The sequence below is a fragment of the Homo sapiens genome, chromosome 13 (genome assembly GCF_000001405.40).
Source record: "Homo sapiens chromosome 13, GRCh38.p14 Primary Assembly".
Taxonomy (NCBI): Eukaryota; Metazoa; Chordata; class Mammalia; order Primates; family Hominidae; genus Homo; species Homo sapiens.
The window spans coordinates 91751649-91776037 of record NC_000013.11 but is presented as its reverse complement, the minus strand read 5'-3'; the positions used below and the strand labels follow the sequence as shown (position 1 = coordinate 91776037).

General features: G+C 35.9%; 1 protein-coding gene across 12 annotated transcripts in view; it reads right to left on the bottom strand.

The window, feature by feature from the left end:
- The window catches only part of GPC5 (glypican 5), a 1468617-nt gene that overhangs the window by 1091200 nt on the left and 353028 nt on the right, over positions 1 to 24389 (bottom strand). For 4 of the 12 annotated variants that reach the window (NM_004466.6, XM_017020435.3, XM_011521054.4 and 1 more), the window contains exon 5: positions 19618 to 19743. In NM_004466.6, coding sequence (NP_004457.1) covers positions 19618 to 19743 — 126 coding nt within the window. Of the gene's footprint in view, positions 1 to 7245; positions 11262 to 19617; positions 19744 to 24389 lie in introns of those variants that run through there. The other 8 variants (XM_017020437.2, XM_011521059.3, XM_011521058.3 and 5 more) reach the window with 6 other exon arrangements.

Here is a 24389-nt window from a genome sequence, read left to right as displayed (position 1 = left end):
CATATTTCTACTGACCAGATGCAATGGGGACAAAGATGGGAAAGAAATTTTAGTGGCAGACACAACGATGCACTTGAAATTGGACTCCTTTTGTACCCATGATGCTCATGGTGCCTGCTCTTTCTAACATATGGATGATTCTTCCCATAAGTAGAGTTCTAGCCACCTAAGCTCTCAGTTTCACTTAGCCAGATATAGCTGATTCTCACTTAGATGAAACCTGGGACACTCACTCATGGAGTAATCTAGTAAAAGAAACAGACATCTAAACAACTGATTAAAGTATGTCTTAGATAAATGCTATCACGGGACATACATCAAGTGTAAGGGATGCCAGAGAAAGAAATGATCAGTTGATCAAGTCTTATAAAGAAGTAACATTTACTTTTGATTTTGAAAGACTGGGAAGAGAAAACTCCAACTGAAATGCCTGCCCCAAACCATAGAGATATGAAAGGGCATTTTGTATGCCTGGATGTGTTTCCATGTGTTGGAAAGTGGAAAAAAGAGAAATATAGAGGTGCAGATAAAATGCACAGTGAAGGGATTTGTACACAAAAAAATTGCATTGTTGATTTTTAAAATAACAATCATCTACGTGGGGAATTAGTTTGCAAGGGAGGTAGCAGATCGATAGGTTAGGAATCTGTTATAAAAACCCAGAGGGGGGAAAAATGAGGCCCAAGTGCAGTAGAAATGGTGGTAAAATGGAGACACCAGTCCAAGAAATAGAGGAGTAATACAACTGCAATTATCACAAATATCACAAATATTATATAGACTAAAACACAGGTAAGAGTCTGGATTTTTCATAACTTTTTGTCATTAAACAAATGTAGATATAACTTCGCTTATGATGTTTTTAAACCTCTTCCGCTCATCTCTCATGATGACTCCTTTGCTCCCATCTCCTGACAATCTTTAAACTCTGTCCCATCCTCATATCATTCTGTTCTTTAACTAGAACTCCTTTCTCTCCTATGCGCTGGTGTTTTCTCTGTATGGGATACTCTCTCTTCTCTTACCCATTTCACCTAGCTAGCTCCTACTTACCCTGCAAGTCTCTGAAAATCACATTGTTAAATTAGGTTCCCTAGAAGTAGATGCTTGGTCAAGAGATTTATTGGGGGTAGTGCTCTCAGTAAAGAGGAGTGAGGGAGGCAAGATAAAGCAGGAGATAAAAGTTACGCAAAAAGGCGGTCTGGGCTGGAGTCAAGTCTCCTCTGATCCCACCAGGAAGCAATGAAACACAAATTGCAGCACAGAGTTGATTTCATCTTCAGGCTAGTAGGCCCATCTTCTGAACCTCAGTCATTGATTGATGACTAGGGTGTAGGGAGGGGGTGTGAGGAGCAGAGCATGGACTTTGGGTCAGGTGGCAATTCTGTTAAGAAGGCACTGTCACCATCATGTCCAGCAGTAGGGGGATGGGTGCGCTGTAGGTCAAGGGGAGAGTGGAGATGGGAATATCCACTATAATTCCTTACGGACTGATTTCCGGCTGCTTCTCCAATATACTCCTGTAGCATCCTGCCCTGCACCAGCCCATCCTTCACAGGCTATCACAGGTGCTATAATCTCCAAGGCAGCAGAAATTACTGCTATGTATTTTTAATGTGGTAGCCCAGAGCCTCACACACAGTAGGCACCCAATAAAGATCTGTTAATGATGAACAGAGAAAGCTAAAATCACATAGAAATTCTTCAGTAGGGAATTTCTTTTGAAGCAGCTTACACTCTTCAAGATGTCAAGTTATTTGTGCTCATTTGTATGCAGTTAAAAATCATCTGCTTCATGACGGGCAAGAGACAGAGTCTTGATATTCACATTTTTTTAGTAAGAATCCTCTGAACAGGTGTGATTTCTCTCTACACTGTACCTCCTGTAAATTGCTCTTCAGTTTATTTTGAATTAAAATTTAAACATTTGTTTACTTGGTGAAATCTTCAGGAAGCTGAACAGTTTGTAATCCTGGCTGTTACAAAACTTTTAGAGAGAAAAGCAATGCATTTGCAAGTAAAATGAACAGGAAATTGCTAATTAGGAATCCCAGAACAACAATGTGTTTTCCCAGGAATAGCATTAAGAACTTTTTAAGATAAGTAAATAATAAAAATAATAATAAAATTTGTTGGTGAATAGCTCCCAAAAGACACATATGAGAAAGAATGATAAATTATGTCAATATATAGACTAACGGATCAGGTTTGTGTATGCATCTTGAGGCTTTCTGTGTTGACTTGGATGGAGTCCCAAAGAGAAGCTGACTTGCATGTCTGCATGAATAAATTCCTAATTAGCTGCTTAGTCCTCAAGCTTTTACGTTCTACAAATAGCTTGATCTATCGGTCTGGACTAGGCAAGAACTTTTGGTCAAATAATATTTTTAAATTGTAGAACCAGATCATATTGAAACTATCACATTCAAAACATGGAGAAATCTTTAACCAAAATATCTGCACTCAAAATTGTATATAAAAATTCAACCTTCATTAGAGATGATATTTATTTCTAATTTATGGCTTTCAAATGAAATAATATTATCATTAATAAACCATGAATTTTCCTTCTAGATTTTTTTTCTGGAGATGCTAGACTAAGAACAGATATGACTGATACTTGCCTTATGTCTACTTTAGTTACTCAGCAGTCTATTATCATCAGTATTTAAAAATCCAAAAATAGCCATTATTATGCAAAACTCTCTATATTGTATTATGTATATTTGTATGAAAGAGCAGTGATTTTTAAAACGCTGTACCTCCTGAGCAATGTTACAGATCTGAATGTGGCTTAAATAATTAATTTCTATCGGTGTTACTAAATATCTAAGGAGGATGTGATCAATGCTTTTCTTCCAGAAATATGCAATACTTAAAATTCTGTCTGTGTTAAAGGCTTCATCCATCTGAAATGCAAAATTCATTATGTAGAAGGTGCTCTGTACATCAAGATGGAATCCCATTAGATACCGAATCTGCTCTAAAATAGTCAAACAAGAATCTCACATCATTTCTACAGTAAGATTAGTCATATCATGAAATCCAAACTTCCTTGCAATACAAATGTGTTCTTCCATATTTTTTTAATAGTCTAAAATCTTAGAAAAAAAATTACCCAAAAAAGTAATTGTGATGGCCAAAGGCAGTGGTCCCCAAACTTATGTGCTCATCAGAATCATCTGGAGAGCTCCTTAAAACATAGAATCTGGGACCCTACTCTCAGGGTTTCTTATTCACTAGAGGTCTGAGTTGGGGACCTGAGAATTTGGGGACCACACTTTGGAGACCACTGCACTTGAGGCTTGGGAAATCAGTAAGCATAAGTTCTTAAAAGTTTTTTCCTTGTCTCCTTCGGGAGTGTCGCATTGCATTTCTCCTTAATCTTATATAATGTAATTGGTATTTCTTTTAAATATCTTCCTTCTTCTCTAATAAATTAGGTGACATTGAAGGAAATACCTATATTCTTGACAAATTAATTAGATGAAATAAAAAAATTATAAGGGAAGAGTAGAGTTCTTATATCAAAACCACATATGGCAAACCAATATGTAAACTTCTCAAAATGAGCCCAAATGTATGATTATGTACTGACAATAACATTCCTGAATGTATGGATTTATATAAAGAATTTCAGATACAAAGTAACGATTTCTAGCCAATTTCCAAATGTCATCACATGCCGTTTCAGTATGTGGGATTAACTTAATTTTTTTTATTGTACCACTCTTAGGCTCTCTACATACTGTAGTATCAATGAATTTCTAAGATTATGACATGTTTTACATTAAAATACAGTAAATCATTCACTGATAAACTTCTGTGTTCTGATACGGAACTACAGGAACTACAATAAAATAAATAGGGAAGAAAAATTGTCACCACCAAAGATGAAGTTCTCTTCTTGTCCTTGTCTGCCTCCTGATCCAGGGTGTGCTATGAGAATCAGATTGGGCTCGGTTCCACTCACAAAGGTTGGCAAGCAGTGTTCGGTTAGTCCTAGTCAGTCCACTTCCACTCTTTAATCTCCAATCCACTGGTAGGACAGTGCAGTAACTACCCATATTCTTTCTGCTTTATGCAATTCATTTCTCAAATAATTATAAAACTGACATTGAAGAACTATTGAACAGATTTTTATTTGCTCTTATTTTATTTGACAATGTGTGCTTGTATTTTATTTGAAATGCACTGGCATTTCTATTGTTCTGAAGTAAGATATCATATCTTTCTGTATTTTGTAAAAATATATGATGATTCTATTATAACATTTTTATGAATCATTATATTTTTAATTTTTTCCTTTTTCGGAAAACAACTAAAAGGACTTGGTAAAAAAATTACGGAAGCACATAGAAATATAATCAATCAACTTTTCCTCCTACACATGTCCTTTAACCCTCTTCTTCTGTAGCATTTTCATATCACTAGCTGTAAGGCTATCTCCTTCTTTATAAAAATCAAAATTATATTCTTCATTTTAGTCTGCCATAACCATTTAATTATTTCCTTATTAATGGAGATTTTGGTTGTTCTACCTTGTGCTAGCATAAAATATGTGCAATTCATGCTCTTTTGTTTACATGGATGAAATAGATGATTCAAAGGTCATGTGTATTTGCAATATTGATACATGTTGCCCAGTTACCCTTCAAAGACGCAAGAATAGCTTCCCCTCTATTGGGATGTTGAAATACCTTTTTCTCTACCTGCTGGTCAATGCTATGAATTATCAAATTTAATGATCTTTGCAAATATAAGTGAAAAAATAGTTATTTGATTTGTATTTATTTGATTTTTAACATTGAGGGTGAGAATTTTGTTTCTTTGTTTAAAAGTCACTGTTATGTTCTGTAAATTATCTATTCATGCACTTTGCCTAATTTTCTATCAGATTTTTGGCATTTTCCTAATTCATTTGAGGAAGTATTCATTCATTTAGTGGCAGGGTGACCTTTTGTGAGAAAAGTTGTATACGCTTTATTCTCAGTGTGGTTATGTGTTTGTAGTTTCTTTATGGTATGCATTTCTCTGCAAAGAAGATTTATATTTTCCAGATAACACAAACATGACAGACTTTCATTCACTATGAATAATAAGTTTTTATTTTTTACAGGTATGTTTCTGGTTTTGTTCTCTTTTTTATTCTCCCTCTCATGTATACCACACAAAAATTGGCCAATTTGAAATAAGATGTTTGTTTTCCCTCAAACTTTATATTCACATTTACCCTTCATAAAGCATTCAAATTATATAAATCTTTGCTTGTGTGAAATAAGAAATATGCATATGCATACACACACACACACACACACACACACACACACACAAACACACAGTCTCCCCAGTCTTTGAACCAGAGCTCCTAAAGCGGCGACTGGGATAATTTTCAGGTCTAATATTTGGTCCTTGACCCCATTTCCTGACACATAGTGTCTAAGACCTTTGTAATTTCCTGAGTGATAGGAGCAAGCATCTAACACATTCCTCCTAAATCCTCTGGAGTTTCCTGGGTGATAGGAGCATCTTTTTTTCTAATGAGATAATTTCTGATGGCCTCTTGGATGGGGGCTGGTCACCAGAAAAACCAAACCATGATTAGAAGCTTGGAATTTTCAGGTTGACTTTCCATTCTCCAGAGAGGAGAGGGGCTGGGAATGGAGTTAATCAGTTGATGATGGATTAATACTCAATGATTGATTGATCATGTCTACATGATGAAGCCTGAATATAAATCCCAAAAGTAGGGTGTTCTGAGAGCTTCCAGGTTGCTGAACATATGAAAATGCTGGGAGGATGGCATGCCCAGAGAGGACCTGCAAGCTCCACATTCCTTCTTCCATTGCTTGCCCAGTGTATTTATTCCCTTTGGCTGTTCATGAATTGCATCCTTTATAATAAAAGAGTAAACACAGGTAAAGTGTTTCTCTGAGTCCTGTGAGCCATTCTAGCAAATGATAAAACCCAAGAAGGGACTCATGAGAATCTCCAATGTGTAGCCAAGTCATATGGAAGTTGTGCATAATCTGGGGACCTACTACTTGTGAGTGGCATCTAAAGTGGGGGGCATCTTGTGGGACTAAGCCCTTAACATGTGAGGTCTGTGGTAACTCAGGTTAGTGTGGTAATTCAGTTGAATTATACGACATACAGTTGGTGTTCAAAGAGAACTGGACAGTTGCTTGGTGTGGGAGAAACTCCCACACTTCTGGTCACAGAATTGTTCTGTGTTGAGTGTGAATACAGAGGAAAACAGATTCTCCCCACCCCCATCCCAGGTGGAAACCACCAATGACTTCTCAAAGCACATAGAATAAAATCCAAGCTTCTTCCCGGGCTTATTTGACCTGACACTTGCCCAAGCTACAGTCTCATTCCAGACAATCCTCCAGCATCATCTGCATCACCCTGAGCCACACACGCTGATTTCCCTTCTGTTCCTTAGACACATGAAGCATGATATTCTCTCTACTTGGAAAATTCAGATCTTTCCACATATTCAGCCTAAATGTGATTTCCCCAGAGAAGGTTTTCCTGGATACTCAATCTAACATGCCCTTAACCCAACTTCTATGGCATTAGCTTCATGAGAGCACAGGCTTGCCATCTCATTCCTCACCTAAAATACTACCTGTGATAATTAGTTTTATATGGCAACTTGGCTAAGCTGTAGTACCCAGTGGGTTTGGTCAAGTAGCAGTCTACACGTTGCTGTGAATGTATTTTTTAGATGTTATTAATACTTAAACCAGTAGACTTGGAGTAAAGCATCTTAGCCTCCATAATGTTGGTGGTCCTCATTCAATCAATTGAAAGCCTTAGGAGATACTAAGGTCCCCAGAAGAGGATGGAATTCTACCTTCAGACCACCTTTGGACTCAAGACTGCAACTTCTGGCAGGTTCCTTGCAGAATTTCCAGCCTAGTAGCATTCCCTGTAGATTTTGGACTTACCAGTCCCCACGATCACATAAGCCAATTCCTTAAAATAAGTTGCTTTCAGAGAGAGAAAGAGAGAGAGAAAGACTGGTTTTGTTTTTGTTTTCTGGACAGCAATGACTAATACACTACTATATGCAGTCACATAGTAAGCCCTCTGACTGCAGGTGTGATGTTTATGCTGTGGCTCTCTCTACCCTACAGAGCATGAGTACTTACCTCTGTAGAACTGTATTCTAATTTGAGACGCATGATTTCATATTAAATGGCAATGACTCAATTCCAAACCAATGTACCACACATGTTTTAGTAAATAGCAATACTTGTTATATTTAAATATACATTGCTTGTTATAAACATGATATTTTTATTTGGTACCAAATAATTTAACCGTATTTATTCTAAACTGTTGTTGGTTTAATGATCTAATATAACTAAAAAGGTCTAGATTCTGTCTAGAATAATCCAAAAATGAACAATATTTCACACATATAATTATACTTTTCATTTTTCTGAATATTTCATTTCTTCATGACTACTCTGAAATAAGAAAATATTTTTATTTCTTTATTTTCCTGAAGAAGTAATGCATGCGAATTATTTTTGTGTGTGTGTTTAGACAATCTACTTTCAGAGTTTGATCTTTAATCAGTTTTATACATAATTGCAGCCACACAAAAAATATTAATCATGTAAGCCAAAATGTGGCATTAATGTAAAAATAATTTCAAATCAAATTTTGTAGAAGTTTTTTCAATAATATCCAACAAATTTCCTTTGTTTGGGTTGAAAAATACATCAGAAAAGAAGGATTTGGATGGTTGGACAATAAAATGTGCTATCTGATGAGCTATTCTTATAAATTCAATTAGACTACACTGTAGTCTATTTGAAGAAAAATATATTATGAATAGGTGCCTGTTCTTTTCCAATCTCCCTTCTAGCATTTTACTTTAATATATAATAAATCATTCAACAGTGAATTTATATGCTATGATATGGAAACACTGGAACTAGACTAATAAACAATATTTTCCATTTTTGTAGTTTAGCAAACTTACATCCATTTAACTGAAAAGGGAATAGCTTTTCAGGTGTAACCTCAATATGAAAACGAAGGATGAATAAGAAACTGCTCTGGCTAAAGTAAGAACAGGCATCCTGGAGCCTTGAAGACTGCTGCTGTTTTGCAATTACACAATCTGGAAGTCACAAGTCTATAGAACTGTGATGAAATCTGTACTCCCAAAGAGATAACAACTTCTGTGCCAAACAGATGGGAAAAGGTCCTTTAGGTTTCCACTTCAGTGAACTTTTATCTTGCTATCTTTTATCTTTTTATCTTCCTCTATTCAACCTCTGGACGCGTGTAACAAGTTAAAAATAGTATCCTCATACTGTGTCAGCATGGCAAGAAACTGAGTAGACACATGGGAAAAGCGGATGTTTAACCTCATTTTTTCCTAGGGATTCTGTTTAAAATACCTATTTCCTTTGGGAACTCAGTGGATAAAGGGAGATGACTAGAATTGTAGCAGCGTTGAAATTGCCGTGTCACCCAAAACAATCTGTTGTGTGATACACTGAAATTTAGCCTGGCTTCAGAAATTTATTTCCAATCAACTGATAGTTCATTAAGATCAGCTCTAAGACTAACCAGTGAGTGAACATTCCCAAACCACTGGTTAGAAATAAGCATTTTACTTTTATCTCTATAGTGCTTTATCTTTGTATCTTAACTTTCAGTTCTCCCTTGAAAACACTGATATAGTGCATGGGTTCAAGTGACTATCACTCTCCAGTTTGGAGTATCTGATGAACTGCCCATTAAGACATAATTTCTCAGTTTTCAGATCCAACAAAATAACCATTTAAAGTATTGATATGGGAATATCTCCTATTCCCAAACCCAAATCCCTAATACTAATTTTTATTAACTCATAAAAGAAACTTCACTAGAGGCCACTAAACTCAGAGCATTTCACTCAAGAATGCATATGCCTTTGTCTTACAAATGGAAGTCTTCTAATCCAAGACAGAACCCATCCAATGAAGAGAAAATGTCAATACAATAGTTTCATTTCCATTGAAGTAAATGAGCATATTTTATTTAACAATAACATGATTTAACAGTTATTGACTATGTTATATCTAGGATTCTAAACTGTTCATGTGAATAACTCATTTAATTTTCAAATATTAGGTAGGTATTACTTTCACCTACTTTTTTCTTTTTTGAGATAAAGTCTCTCTCTGTCACCCAGGCTGGAGTGCAGTGGTGCAGTCTCGGCTCACTGCAACCTCCACCTCCCGGGTTCAAGCAATTTTCCTGCCTCAGCCACATAAGTAGCTGAGATTACAGGCATGTGCCACCACACACAGTTAATTTTGTATTTTTAGTAGAGACAGGGTTTCACCATGTTGGTCAGGCTGGTCTCGAACTCCTGACCTCGTGTTCTGCCCACCTCAGCCTCCCGAAGCGCTGGGATTACAGGCATGAGCCACCGCGCCCGGCCTTACCCACATTTTAAAGTTAAGAAAAGTGATGCACTTAGAGATTAATGAATATGTCTTAATTCACATCACTGGTAAGTGGTTAATCTTTATTGACAACCTTAGTAGCATGGCTCCTGAACCTGTTCCTAACCACTGAGCCTTATTGGCTTTATGAATGAATGGTTGCATTATAATGAATGAGAGAAGGCTTCTAATACTAAATAGTCACGACATGCCCATGAAGCTGAAATGAAAGAGAATAGTGAGAAGGAGAAAACATAATCTGAAAGTTTGTACACAAATGAAAGTAATGCAGTGTAGAGGCCACTCAACTCAGAGCATTTCACTCAAGAATGCATTTGCTCCCACTCGCTTTCTTGCTTCCAAGTCTGCTGATTAAAATTCCATCCAACTTGAAAGATTTTGTAAACTATTCCCACTTGTAAATATTTGTTCTGTGTTCTTCTCTTCTATATCCTAGTCTACATGAGAGATGGACTTATGTCTATTTTGTCCATCACTGTGTCCCTAGCATCTAGAACAGTGTTTGTGAAAGAGTAGACAGTGACAAAGTTATTTTTATTGTGTTACTATATTTTTGTATTTATGTATTACAGAATTTTAAGTGAATACAAATATACAGAAAATATAGTATAACACTCCGTTCCCATCAAACAGCTTCAATGATTACTCACTCAGAAAACTTCACTTCAAATATAATATGACCCTCTTTCTCCCACTCACTGAATTATTTTAAAGCATTCTCAGTCATTATCTCATCTCATCCATATTTTAAAGAATTTATTTTAATTGAATGAAAACTCATATCACATATTACCTCTTTCATTAAATACTGTTGAATCCTCTCAATCAAAAAAGAATTTTCCCCTATTTGAAAGTCTGTGGGATTGTACACTTCTTTTATTTCAAAACCTGTTTTGCTGTGAATGTGTTTTGTGAACATGTTTTCTACCAGTTTGAGATTCCAAGTCCCTGAAAGATTGGGAAAATATCTCATATAACTTTGCGTTCCATTCAAGGTCTATTGCAGTATCTTGAATTTGGAAACTAGTTTTCTGTCTTCTCTGCACCACTTCCAAGTACATGGAAAAGGGTGCTAAAATAGTACTCTTTCTGTTTCCATTTCAGCCAAGAACAAGGGACAATAGATGGCATACACCCCTCACTTTCAGTGAGGTGCTAGACATGAAAAGCAGATGACTGAAACCTTGTTTTCAGTCCCACAGTTTGACATCCACCTTAATTGAATAAAAGGATTGAAGTTGAAGAGAACAAAGCAGGGAACTTGTTTGAAGAAAGCTGATTGAACTGCTACGGCATTCCCTCATTCATTGGTCCTAGGTGAGAGAAGTGTTGAAGGATCCTTGGAGCTGGAAGGACTAAAAGGGCTGGTAGTTGGCCTATGCCTACGCAAATGGAAGGCAGCCCATTCTTGTAGCAGAAGTTGGCTGTCTAGTGGCAGAGTAAAGAGAGGCAGCTGCATTAGGTGTAGGCTGTACTTCCACCAAAAGTAGAAAAGAGAGGGAAGGTTTCTATGGGCTAGAATAGATGATATGGGAGAAAAGGAACCCACCAAAAGATCTCAGCAGAAAGAGGCCAAAACATTACCATCACATGGAGAAATAGAGGGGAGAGACATTGTCTTAAGCACACAAAAGCACTAGGGCATCAGCTGTTAATACCTGCCAGGCTAGAAAACATCAATGAGAGATCATAAAATTACCAGTCACAAAGAATGATTTCTTCTCTCACTTCTTCTTTCTCACTTTTGATCCATCATCTCCCCAGCTCGAAACCTGCCAACTACAAGCACAGGGGAGTCAGAAACATTGTTTGAAGGACGAGGAGAGTGCAAGGTTGGCACACGAACCTGAAAAGGTTCACATACACACCCTACTAGGGACTCTTAGACTGAAGCAGAACCTAACTGGACGAGGGGAAAAACGAAGAGTAAGAGAATTTCACACGTTTGATTATTAGGTTGGACTGGACATTTTCATTACTGAATTTACACGGTTTATGGAACTAACCCATAATGAAAGAGCCTTCAGGCACTAATAGTGAGCAAAAAAATTCTGACAGCTGGCCATGATTTTATTCTGGTGACAAAGTAAAAATGGCATTCCTAGAGGATTTAATGTTTCTACTCAGACCTTTCTGAGTCTGGCTTTCTGAATGTAATGATTACACACGCTTAACAAGAGACAACTGATTACCAAGCCAATACGTCATTAAAGAGAGATACGGAAGACCTGTCTCAGCTCAGAAGATGATATACCACGCAATTATTGCCGCATTCATAGAGCATTTTTAGAAAAGACCAAAATGTGTATATTGACCTGAGAATGATTAATATTTCCCTAAGCTTTAACCGTAGTTAGGAATGTCAGGACTTGGAGCCAAGCTGATAAAATGTGCATGTCCTTGCAAACATCTCCTGTATTACAGTTGGCCCTCTGGATCCACCAGTTCCAGATCAAGGATTCAACTGTGTTCAAGGATTCGACCAACCACGAATCAAAAATATTTGAAGAAAAAAATATATAAAAATAAAAAACAACACCAAGTTTTAAAAAACAGTATAACAACTATTTACACAGCATTTACATTGTATTAGGTACTATATTTAGTCTAGAGATGATTTAAAGTAAACAGGAGGATGTGCATCGGTTATACGCAAATACTACCCCATTTTATAGCTGGGACTTGAGCATCCTTGAGTTCTGGTACCTGAGAGAGGTCCTGGACACAATTCCCCATGGATACCAAGGGGTGACTATATTTGTTATAGACCCAAACCATGAGATAACTACTTAGGGACTATCAATGAAATAAAAATTACCTACCAAGAAAGTGTAATAGAGGAAGGCAGGGAGAGTACAACTGTGGCATAGGGATATTATACAGCCAAGAATCCTGCAAATTTATTTTCTGTTGATTTCAAACCATCAGCCATACCTGGATTTGTCTAATTGAACCTAGAATGTGTAATCTGCAATGTGATGAATTCTGTAGTCCCTTATATCTGAAACTGCAATTTTTATTTTTGTCACAAATGAGCACAAATGTTTCAGTTCTTCCCTTAATGAAGACTGCAAACTCAGACTTTTGACTTTGGGCAGGTCTTTGCACGTGGATCTACTCCTCATTCCAGTGCCTCATCTTTTTGATAGGAACAATCCCACCCAACATGTCTCTAACCCAAAACATTTCAGATTCATGGGGTTCTTTAGATTCCCATTTAACAAAAATGTCCATGAAAGTGCGTACCATGAGATGTACATGGTCTTAAAGTTGTCCGGGGGGGAGAAAAAATCAGCATCCAGAGTCAGCATAGATTGTAACTTGTATGATTCATCTCCCTTCATCTAATCTTCCTTTCAGGCATCAACTTCACTTTGGACCCACGTATTACCCATCAGAGCGTTATCACCAAGTCCAAAGTCCTAAATCTCTTAGTTCTCACTAATGCTTATAAAAATGTCATTCCCTCAGAGTCTTGTTATCTTCAAAGAATTACTCATTGATGTTCAATGATATTAATCATTCTTAGACTCTTAGATAATCCAGGAGATCTATTCCAAAAGAAACTGCAATAGAGAAGAATAAAGAAGATGTGTGACATATAAATGCAAAAAAAATGTATTATAGGTGTCACAGTGCATTTAGGGGTTAAAATGAAACACAAATGAGGGGATTCATACCCCTAAGATTCAAGACAAAAGTGAGAGTTTGGCAAAGCTGCATATACAGTTGCATGGAGAAAATGATTTAATTGAAAATTATTCAGTTAATTGTGGGCATTTCAAGCTCCATGGTAAATTGCTGAAGTGAGGAAGAAGTCTTCAAATCACACTTTTTTAAAGCAACCTCCAATTCTGAACCAAATATGATAGGCTATAGGTATGATAATGATAATTATTAGGAAGGTATAGACAAAGGATATGAGAAACTGATTGGATAGGTAGAATTTGCCAGGAAAAAAAAAAAAAAGAAATAGAAAACAAACTGGTGTTTAAGTCATAAAGAACATACTGCCTTTGCACAAGAAACATAGGAAAAGCAACCAGTTGTTACATTAATAAAATTCAGAAATTCAGACAATCCTGAGACCTGATCGTTTTTAAAATGAAGTTCAAAACTTTTGGAAACTAGGACAGATGTTAAATAGGAAAAATGTAATTGAATGCTGTAAGGTCAGGAAGAAAAAAGAAAGATTGAAATTGAAGTGGCTTTCCAGCTAGATAATGGGTAAAAGAAAAAAAAAAAATGAGGTTAACAAAATTATGGTCAGGAAAACTGTCATTGCCTGGGTGGAAAGAAAAGTGAGAATTGGTAGAGTACAAACTCTCAGAGATTTATAAAGTTTTCTATTTTATCTGATTTTAAAAACTCACACACAACCAGTTGAGGAAAAGGGTCAGCTTATCATAAAAGCTAGAAAAGAGAAAACTGGATTATGAAAGAAGCATTCAAGAACATTAACTTAATCAAGATGAAGTAGAAATAATGTGGCATATTAATTTTACCAGGGTGCTATGATATTGCAAAATATATATTTGGTCTTCTTCCCTGTTTCTTGGCATTTGCTAAAATCCTTGGAATCTCCAAAGTGCTTTTTGTATGCTAAAGTTGACTGACACTTCAGAAAGACAGAAGCATGATTAGAGGGTTGGGACTTTCAGCCCCTCCCACCAACCTCCAGGGAGGGGAGAGGGGCTGAAGGTCAAGTTGATCACCAATGGCCAATGGCAAAATTAATGTTGTCTCCATAATGAAGTCTCCATAAATATTCAAGAGGACAAGGTTGAAAGAGCTTCTGGATAGCTGAACACAAAGAAGTTCCTAGAGGGCAGCTGCCCAGAGAGGACACGGAAGCTCATCACCCCTTGCCCCATACCTTGCCCTAGGCATCTCTTCATCTGTAGCCTTTGTAATATCCTTGATAAAAAACTGGTAAACATAAGTGTTTCTCTGAATTCCATGAGCTGCTCCATCAGATTCATTGAACCCAAAGAGGGGGTTGTAGAAACCCCAACTTGAAGCCAGTTGGTCAGAAGTTCTGGAGGATGGGACTTGGAACTGGTCTCAGAAAGGCAGGGCAGTCTTGGGGACTGAGCTCCCAGCCTGTGGGATCTCCAGGTAGATAGTGTTGGAATTGAATTGGAGGACACTCATCTGGTTTTGGATGCCTGGTGTGTGGTGAAAAAAAACCCCACAATTTTGGTCACAGAAGTTCCGTGTTGATGATTGTTGCGGTGGTATAAAAGCAGAGGAAAAACATGGTTTGAGAGTTTTCTTCAAAAAGGTACTTAACAGATACTGGCTGGTTTAAGAGCCACTGTGGAAGTTAATTCCTGGAGACTGAGGGACAGTTACAGGATTATCTGTTAATCAAAAGGGAAAAGGAAGCCCTGGTAATTAAGGAGCTGTCACCTGAACTTCAATGCCCAGAAAGAAAAGAACGAATCATCAAACAATCAATTTGCAATCACAGAGAACTGAGAACAAAGACTAACATGCCTTTCAGAGAACAATGTTGTTTTGTAATGAAGAGACAGGAAGGGGAGATAAAAGAGACTGTAAGAGATACAGACTACATGGATTTCAATAATATTTTCTTCTTAAATCAGAAATTGTTTGAACTGTTGACCTCAGTGTTGCAGTAGAGTATATGATATGAATACAGTCTTCGAAATCATTTGAGTTAAATAGATTTTGTTTCAAAAATCAAACTCTTTTTACACTACAGATATTTGAGACATTTTCATCTACAATCACAAAGGAATTCCACCTCTTTTGATCAGCACATAGGTGATTTCACACAGTTTTACAGGACTGTCATGATATTAAAATAGTCTGTATGGCTCTCCTAGTCTTTGAAGAATGTCTGTGCACACAAATAATCATATCAATCACCTCTTTAAAAATGCCTGCAGGAGAAGAAATCTTGCCAAAATAATTGCTTCACTCTTATAATGAAGAATAGACTTAATCTTGGCCACCAATTTGACCTATTGATGTGTTTGGCTTAACTCCTCTAGAATGAAGCTGATGGGTATTATAACCTCCCATAAAACAGGAAAACACTCTATCATCCCCAAATGTAGTATACATTCACTTGTCCATTTCCTCAAAACTGAATGGCATTACTTACTTCAACTAACTGCAGGTCTCTGAAATGAATCTCACATGTGAGGATTGCTTAGAGCTTTTCACCACAGATCACTGCTATACTTCATTTTTTCTCAAGGAGAAAGTGGTTAATTTAAGATTGTAACAGTGATCAGGACTTGACTTTGTATAGAAACTCTCCTAGATAAATTCAGCAGTTCAATATTGAAGCATATGTATTAACTCTTTGACAAAACTATATCACAAAATTCCTAGGAAAATCTGAATTAGTAGAAATTAAATGTATAAATAGCACTTTTTACAACGTTAATTTTTACTTTTTTTTGAGAATTATAAAACATAAAAAACAATAATGGCCCATAATTCTTGTATCACTTTAACACCTGTTTTCATTTAAAATAAGTATGTACAATACAAATTAAAAAATAAAAGACCTCCCTGCCCCCTAGTACTTTGTCCTAAATTTATGCACATTAACAATTTTCTTGTAACTTTCCAGAAATACTCTATGCAGAACCAATATTAATATCTATTTTATTTTTTTGAAATCTGCTGGTAAAATATGTCCTATCCTGTTTCTAGTTAATTTTGTTTAATTATTTGACATCATTCCACAGTAGCAGATATAAATATGTATCAATTTGACTGCTATGTAACATTTCATGATACCATAATCAATCAACGAGAATTGATGGATACTTACATTTTACCATTGAGTTGGCATTGAGAAAAAAAAAATCTCATTCTAAATTTACATCAAGGGGATGGAACTGGAGGCCATTATGTTGAGTGAAATAAGCCAGGCACAGAAAGATAAACTTCACATATTCTCAATCATTTGTGGGAGCTAAAAATTAAAACAATTGAATTCATGGAGATGGAGAGTAGAAGGATGGTTACCAGAGGCTGGGTAGAGTAGTGGGAAGAGGGTAATGGGGATAATTAATAGGTATAAAATATAGTTAGACAGAATGAGTAAAATCTAGTATTAGATAGCACAACAGGATGACTACAGTCAACAATAATTTATTGTACATTTTAAAGTAACTAAAAGTATAATTGGAATGCTTATAACATAAAGAAATGATAAGTGCTTGAGTTGATGGGTACCTCATTTACCCTGATGTGATTATTACACATTGCATGCCTGTATCAAAATATCACATGTACCCCATATACACCTGCTATGTACACATAAAAATTAAAAATGAAAAAAAATAAAGAATTGACTGAGTCATGACTAAAATTAAAATTTTAAGTTAATTTTTTAAGTCAAAAGACACAGAATTTTCTCGTCGTCAAATAGAAAAGAGATAGAGTCCAATCAACTTACTTGGGGCATTAAAAGTGAAGTATTGGGGGAATTAAATAATGCTTCTGAAACCCTCAGTTCATGGCAACAGAATAATCAGGGCTGAAACATGCTCATTTTGGCAGTAGCCTTAGAGGTGGTAGGAGTGTGTGAGGCTCATATGCTGGCACTGAGAACCAAAGGGCACAGGAGTAGGTTGGGGACCCATGAGACAGAAATGGAAGAGAAAGATGTGCTCAAGAAAGGGAAAATGTCCATTAAGGTGATGAGGTTGGAAGAATTGTTTGAAGATAGTTAAAGACACAGTGAAGCTTGTTCACGAAAGACTGGAGTCTCTATGCACTTGGAAGTAGCTAATAGACAGGAGTCTGTGGTGGTACAGGAAAGGGAAGGCATTAGCTGGAAGCAAATGGGAATACTAAGAATCACACACTTCGCTAATCAGAAATGTGGACGGTTTTCATGGAGAGTCCTTGCTAACTCTGTGCTTTTTCAAATTCATAAACCACGAATGAGGTCTTTAAAAATATATTATGTAGAATAAAATATATTCATTGAGCTGAAAATACTATCACTCTAAAAGGTTTCCCCAAATCATTGATTTCTCCAACAGTATTTCCCATTACACAAACCCCAGACCAACTGGTCAAGAGAGGAATGGGATAAATTCAGATTAAGGTTCTTGCAGCTGTAGATTCAGATAATATAATTCAACATAATGTAATGTAGTATATTAAACATATTTATATGATATAATAAATTTTTATTAATCACTCTGGGTTTCTCATTAGTCTTTGTAAAAATATACAAAAAGTTCAATTCCAGTTTGAACAGTTTGAAAAAATACTATGTCAAACTAGAATTTAATTACTAGATCTAAGAAGCAGAAATGTTGACATGAATACACTAAGAACTCAAAGTATGAGAATGCTATCACTTCTCTCAGTAAAAGCAATAAAGAAATATTTGCAAAATTGTTACATTGCAACATCCAGGGTGCATAATGAAAAAAGAGCACTAGTCATATCAGCCAATTATTTTATTTAAATTTAAATACAGTTTTTGTCTTCAATTTTTTTTTCTGTGAAGTCTAAGTCTCTATGAGATATTCAGATATTCAGGATATTAGTAAAATAATAATTTAATATTTCAGGAATGTAGCTTTTAACTATAATGAAAATGATCACTCAGAAATATATAAGTGGCTTAGTTATATAAATTTCTATTAAAATTGATTATAGTATATGTTTATCATAGCAAAGTTAATTTGCTAAATAATGTTTTAAATGAACTCATCACTTTTGTGGTAACTAAACCACCTATCTGCATATAGAGGAGGTTTACTTGTAATTCATTGTATTAGTCCATTTTCATAGTGCTATGAAGAAATACCCAAGACTGGGTGATTTATAAAGGAAAGAAGTTTAATTGACTCATAGTTCAGCATGGCTAGAGAGGCCTCAGGAAACTTTTAATCATGGCATAAGGGGAAGCAAATACGTCCTTCTTCACATGGCAGCAGCAAAGAGAAGTATATGTGCACAGCAAAGGGGAAGCCCCGTATAAAACCATCAGATCTCGGGAGAATTAACTCACTATCCCAAGAACAGGATCGGGGAAACCATCCCCATGATTAAATGATCTCCTACCAGGTCCCTCCCAGGTCACCTGGGGATTACGGGAACCACAATTCGAGATGAGACTTGGGTGGGGACACAGCCAAACCATATCTGTCAGAAAGCTTAACACCCTATCTTTCATTTTGGAGACTGCTCAAAAATATATTTTAACACATTCAGATCCAAAGTATACTTTTTAATGGATTCAAATCCAAAATGTAAAATGTACAAATAAAAAATATATTTATTTTATAGTTTAACAGATTCAGATCCAAACACAAAACCTCATTATCCTACATTCTATAATAACCACCAGTATTGGCAAATCAAGAGACTTTTCCCCAACCAGTTTAATTGACCACAGAGGGAGAATTTATGACTTTCTCAAGCTCAGGAGATTGCTTGAAAGTACAATCAGTTATAGGAAATAAAGGAAAAGAAACTGTCAAAGAAATTCTAGATAGGCAGGAAAAAAAGTAAACATGGAATTTCACTTCTAAGTTTGAGAATAATTGACAACATATCAATGAACAATGCCTCAAACAGATATATATATATATATAAAAGTGCCCCCACTATTACATAGTCTCTCTCTCTCTTTCTCAATCTCTCTCTCTCTCTTTCTTGCATGCTCTCTTTCTATCAGACCATTGTAGGATGGACACATTAACATTGTTAGGACACATATCCATATACCAATGAATCTTTGAATAGGTATTCACATTTCACTGAATTTCCTCACTTTCTAATACTCATGAATTTAAACTAAAAAGAAATACAATATTTGGTAAACAACAGACAGACTGGATAAAAAATAAACGGTGTTTAATTCAAAAGTAGGATTGTTGGTAAGTCATAGATAGGTAAAAGAGAAGACTTTCAAAATACCACAGAATGCTATTATAGTTTTAAGATACCTAAAAGGATCAGGTTTTGTTGTTCTTTTCCTTGTTTTTTGACAAACTAAAGATAAGTATTTAATGTAGACTGTAAACTGTGTGACAAAGTTAAGACTGAATTAATCCCCTTAAGATTCAGAAAAAGAAAGCAAGGATGATGTAACTAGTAGGTTTTCACAGACCACATAAAATACCTTTTTACTATATCTTCTCCATTCCAGCAGGGAAGTCCATCTGCAGCAGCTAATTCATTAGCACAAAGCTGATCAGCTAGACCTCCATAGAATGACCTGTACAGTCGAAGGCTGTTGATAAATTCTCTAAATGAAAGAAGAAAGAAAACAATTAAAACCAAACATCCACAATAAAGGCCATCAAAAATGATATGTATTGTTATACATAATGTTTAGGATATAATTTTTATATTGTTATGCATAATGTTTAGAATATAATTTTTTACATTTTCTCTATTTGTTCTCATATATTTTAAATACTTTTCTAACCACCAAGATGAAAATACATTACTTTTTTTTTTTTTTCAAAAAAAAAGCTAGTATTTTAGTTTATTCTTGGAATAAAAAGGTTCACTGGGTATGAATCTTGTGTAACTTCACATGCAAGAAGTTGGGAATAGTATATACTGATGCATAAAGAACGACATCACTTCATTTAGCCTCCCTAAAAGTCCTCACTACCTGCTATCATCTAAGCCACCACGAGAGTACTAATAATTTTCTTTTCCCTGTGGAAAATGTCAGAGACTTACAACATGCCAAGTGATTGCTTACTGATGAAAAGTGTAGTAGGTTATTTTCCTATCTGGGTCTTCTTGGTATCTAAGAACATAAAGTAATGTCTTTACTAAATATGACCCAAAACCCAGACATGTAAGATATTTCAGAAGCATGAAAATAAAAGTTATTGGAAGGAATAATATTTAGTATATTAACTAAGATTTTTTCCTCCCACAATACTTTCCTTCCCCATATCAATTATCAGAGGAAAAATTCAACAACAAGCAGGTTTTTTGTTTTGTTTTAATTTAGAAACCAAAAACTTTTCAGTTTTAAAACCAAGGCTTTGGAGGACCAAGAACTTGAGTTTTAACATTTCAAGGCCAAGTCCTAAAGGCCTTCATTATGATTTTTTTTGACATAAACAATTGTTTTGGAAAAAGAAATGAAAAGCCCTAGGCTGATCATAGGAGATGCTCTCTAGACCAGAAGGAAGGGGCAGAAGAAGGAAATGTTGGAAGGAAAGTAAACTTTAGAAATTCATGGAATATGCAGTTAAAATGTAGCAATTATGAAATGTCACCCTCATTAAGACTAAAAATATAATGTGTTTAAAAATGAGATCAAAGAAGACAGGTGATTCTAAATTATGCCTGGAGTAACTAATTTTTTAAAAATGAAATCTCATTTTGTCAGCTCTGTTACTCAAGTTCATTAATTTTTAGTTCTCTCTCCTATTATTTTTTGTTTGTTTGTTTTAGAGATGATATCTTGCTATGCTGCCCAGGCTGGACACAAACCTATCGGTTTTTAAATAACTATTTGTGAATATTGCTGGAGTTGATTTGTAAAAAAGATAAATATTACTTTCAAATATGTAACATCAAAACTCAGAGAAAATCAGAAGTTTTTAGTATAAGTATTTGGTATTTAAACGAGTTTTTAGCAAAGATGGACCAGATAAGTGATAAAGTGGTTGCAAGAAGCACAATTCTGACTTAACTGTAACTTAGATTGATTACAACAAAGGCTTTATTCTCTTGATAGCACAGTAATTATATTACATATTTACTACTTTAAGTCCGTTTCCTCTGCCAGAAAATAAGTGCCTCAAAGACAGCTATGTCTTTACTAATTGTAATGCATGAACAAATATCAATTTATATGTTGCAGCTATTAAAACATAATTGAGGAAGCAGACTAATTCTTTTTTAGAAAGGTGGGATTTAATGAATGGCAGGATGTGTGACTCCTGTCCTAAATTTTATTCACAATAAATGATCACTTGTTCGGAATCAGAGTCTTCTAGGAATGAAGACCAGGCCCAAATTGATGGAATGTTGAGACTTTTAAATTGATGATGTAAAATTGTAAATATTTTTATGGACCCTAATTCAGTCTTGGTGGATAGCACAAGGTTCATTTCTCCCTTCAAAATCAATAGATCCTCATAGAGAAAGCTTTATGTCTTTCTTTTCCAGTCCTCTTTCCCACGGCTATACTGCCATTGCCTTAGTCCAAGCCTTTATCATCTTTCTCTGGACGTACTACACTAAGATTACATCCCTCCAATCTCTTCCCATTCTCAATGACAGTCACTTTCTAAAATTCAAATTTGATATTCCAGAGATTATGTTACTCACTTAAAGTCCTTCAAAGGCTTCTCTACAGCATTTTATCTAAGTTTCTTGGAAAGATGTGCAAGGTATCTTCTCACTTCAATTTGAACAACAACCCAAACCATACTTTAGGGTCCCACAAAAGTGAGGTTCTGTTTTCCAAACACACCGTCATACCTTTGCCTATATTTATTCTGAAAGGATTTAACCTAGAAGATTTCCAGTCATTCTATGAACCATCATCTATAAATTATTGGTCAAAAAGTAATAAATGCTACTGAGTACTAAGTTTTTTATTGGCACTAAGGATTCACAGGTAAGCAAGAGAGCACCTGCCTTCTAAGAACACACATTTTGGGGAAAACCTACAATGATAATACAGTGCTAATAGTGCCAAATTTTAGCGCACAGAGGAATCAGAAGATATTTACAAAACAAGGCAGTATTTCAGTGTTCCATGCAAACCAAACAAAAAGCCTGGATGAGTAAGGGTAAGAGGAAAGAAAATACGGGTAGTATGCAGTTTCACTAGAGGGGACTGTGCTTATGGGAATGAATTATGGTAAAATGGTAAGAAGAAACCATTTTATCATCAGTCTTATTGCTCATCATAAGACGTTTCTGTTTTATTCAAAAGGCAGTTGGAACCATTAAGTTTTCCAGCAAGCAGGTGTTATCATCATCATGGCAGCAACTTGGGAGTAGAAAAGCAGTGAGGTCACTTAGGTGGCTATAACCTGAGCAGGAGAAACCCTGAGGATGTGAGAAGGAGCCTGTCAGTGAACAGAAAAACAAGTGAAAGATTTGAAAGACATTAGGAATCCAGAATTGACAGGTTAAAGTAAGAGTGTTAAGATAACACACACAATTTCTAATTGTGTTTTCCCCCTGCTCATGTGAGGGGATGGTCATGTCATTCCCTGAGATAAGAAATAAAGGAAGGGAAATCTCACCTTCTCAGTGTCCTACACTATATTTATGATCATCCTTATCTCGCTTGATATTTTCATCTTTCCAAGGCACACATCACTTTCTAGCCACTTATGTAATATACGGATTAATCAGGCCTTATTGTTTCTTAACTGTCTCTACGGTCCAGAATAAAATATTCAGGCAGGCAGACATTTTGTTGTTTGCTTGTTTTGTTCACAGCCATAAATCATAGAGCAGTGGCTTTACACACAGTAGCCCCAATAAATAGTCATCAAATTAATACATGAGTGAAGACTAAGGAATTAATGGTTTCATTCTCAACATGTTCAGTTTGAGATTTCTTTGGAATGTCTAGATAGAGAAATCAAACAGAATGCTACTTTCAAATTTACTAGGTGTAAATCTCATCTGAGGATTTTACCAAAATGCAGATTCAGATTCAGTAGTTCCAGGGCAGGGCTCAAGACTGCACATTTCAAAGCAGCACTCATGTGATGTTGATGCTACTGGTTCAAGAACTGTGCACATCCTGGAAGTTTGCTGTTAAAGATGTAACCTTGGAACTTAGTGGACTGGACATGTGACGTGAGACCCACCACCCATACAGGTAGTGACTGAAATAATGGACATGGAGAAAATCTTTCAGGAAAGTAATATGCAGTAATAAAAAGCCAAAAAGAGCTGAAAGTGAAAAGAACGAAGGAAGAAAACTTCAAAGTTAAAGCACTATGAAAACTAAAGAATGAGTGAATTTGAAGGTAGATTCTTCACAGTACAAAATGCCATCCTGAGAGGTTAAATAAAATACTGAAAGTGTCCTTCATATGTGGTGACCATAATTATTATGTACTAAATTGTATCACCTCCTGCCACCACCACAAAAAAATTCATATGTTGAAATCCTAACTGTGTTTGGAGACAGGGCCTTTAAAGAAATAATCAGGGGCCAGGCGTGGTGGCTCACGCCTATAATCCCAGCACTTTGAGAGGCTGAGGCTGGAGGATTGCTTCAGCCTAGAAGTTGGAGACCAGCCTGGACAACATAGTGAGACCCTGTCTATACATACATACATATATACATACATACATACATACATACCCACACATAAAATTTTAAAAATTAAAAAAATAATTAGAATTAAATGAGTTCATATGGGTAGATGCTAATCCAATATGACTGGTGTCCTTATAAGAAGACGAAGAGATACCAGGGACACACAGGCACAGAGAAAAGGCCGCATGAAAACACCGGGTGAAGGCAGCCATCTGCAAGCCAAGGAGAGAAGCCTCTGCAGAAACCAAACCTGCCAACACCTTTATCTTGAACCTTTCAACCCCAGAACTATTGAGGAAATTCATTTGTGTTGTTTAAGCCACCCAGTCTGTGGTATTTTGTTATGACAGCCCTAGCAAACCCATATAGGAATTAAAACACTTGAAGTAAAGTAATGAACTTCACATTTGCTGTACAGTGAGCATTAGAAAGAGCATGGGAAACCATAAGTAGAGATTCCAAAAAAGAAAAATTAAAGATTTGTTCTTATGTATGCTCGTTTCAATGTGGAAGACAGTTGAAAATATTTGGGTATAAAAAGAAGGAGATAAGGTTTTGTGGTAATGAGCTTGTTTCTGGAGAGTCTATCTACCTTCTGGGCACACAGGCGCTTGGAAGTTGGCTTT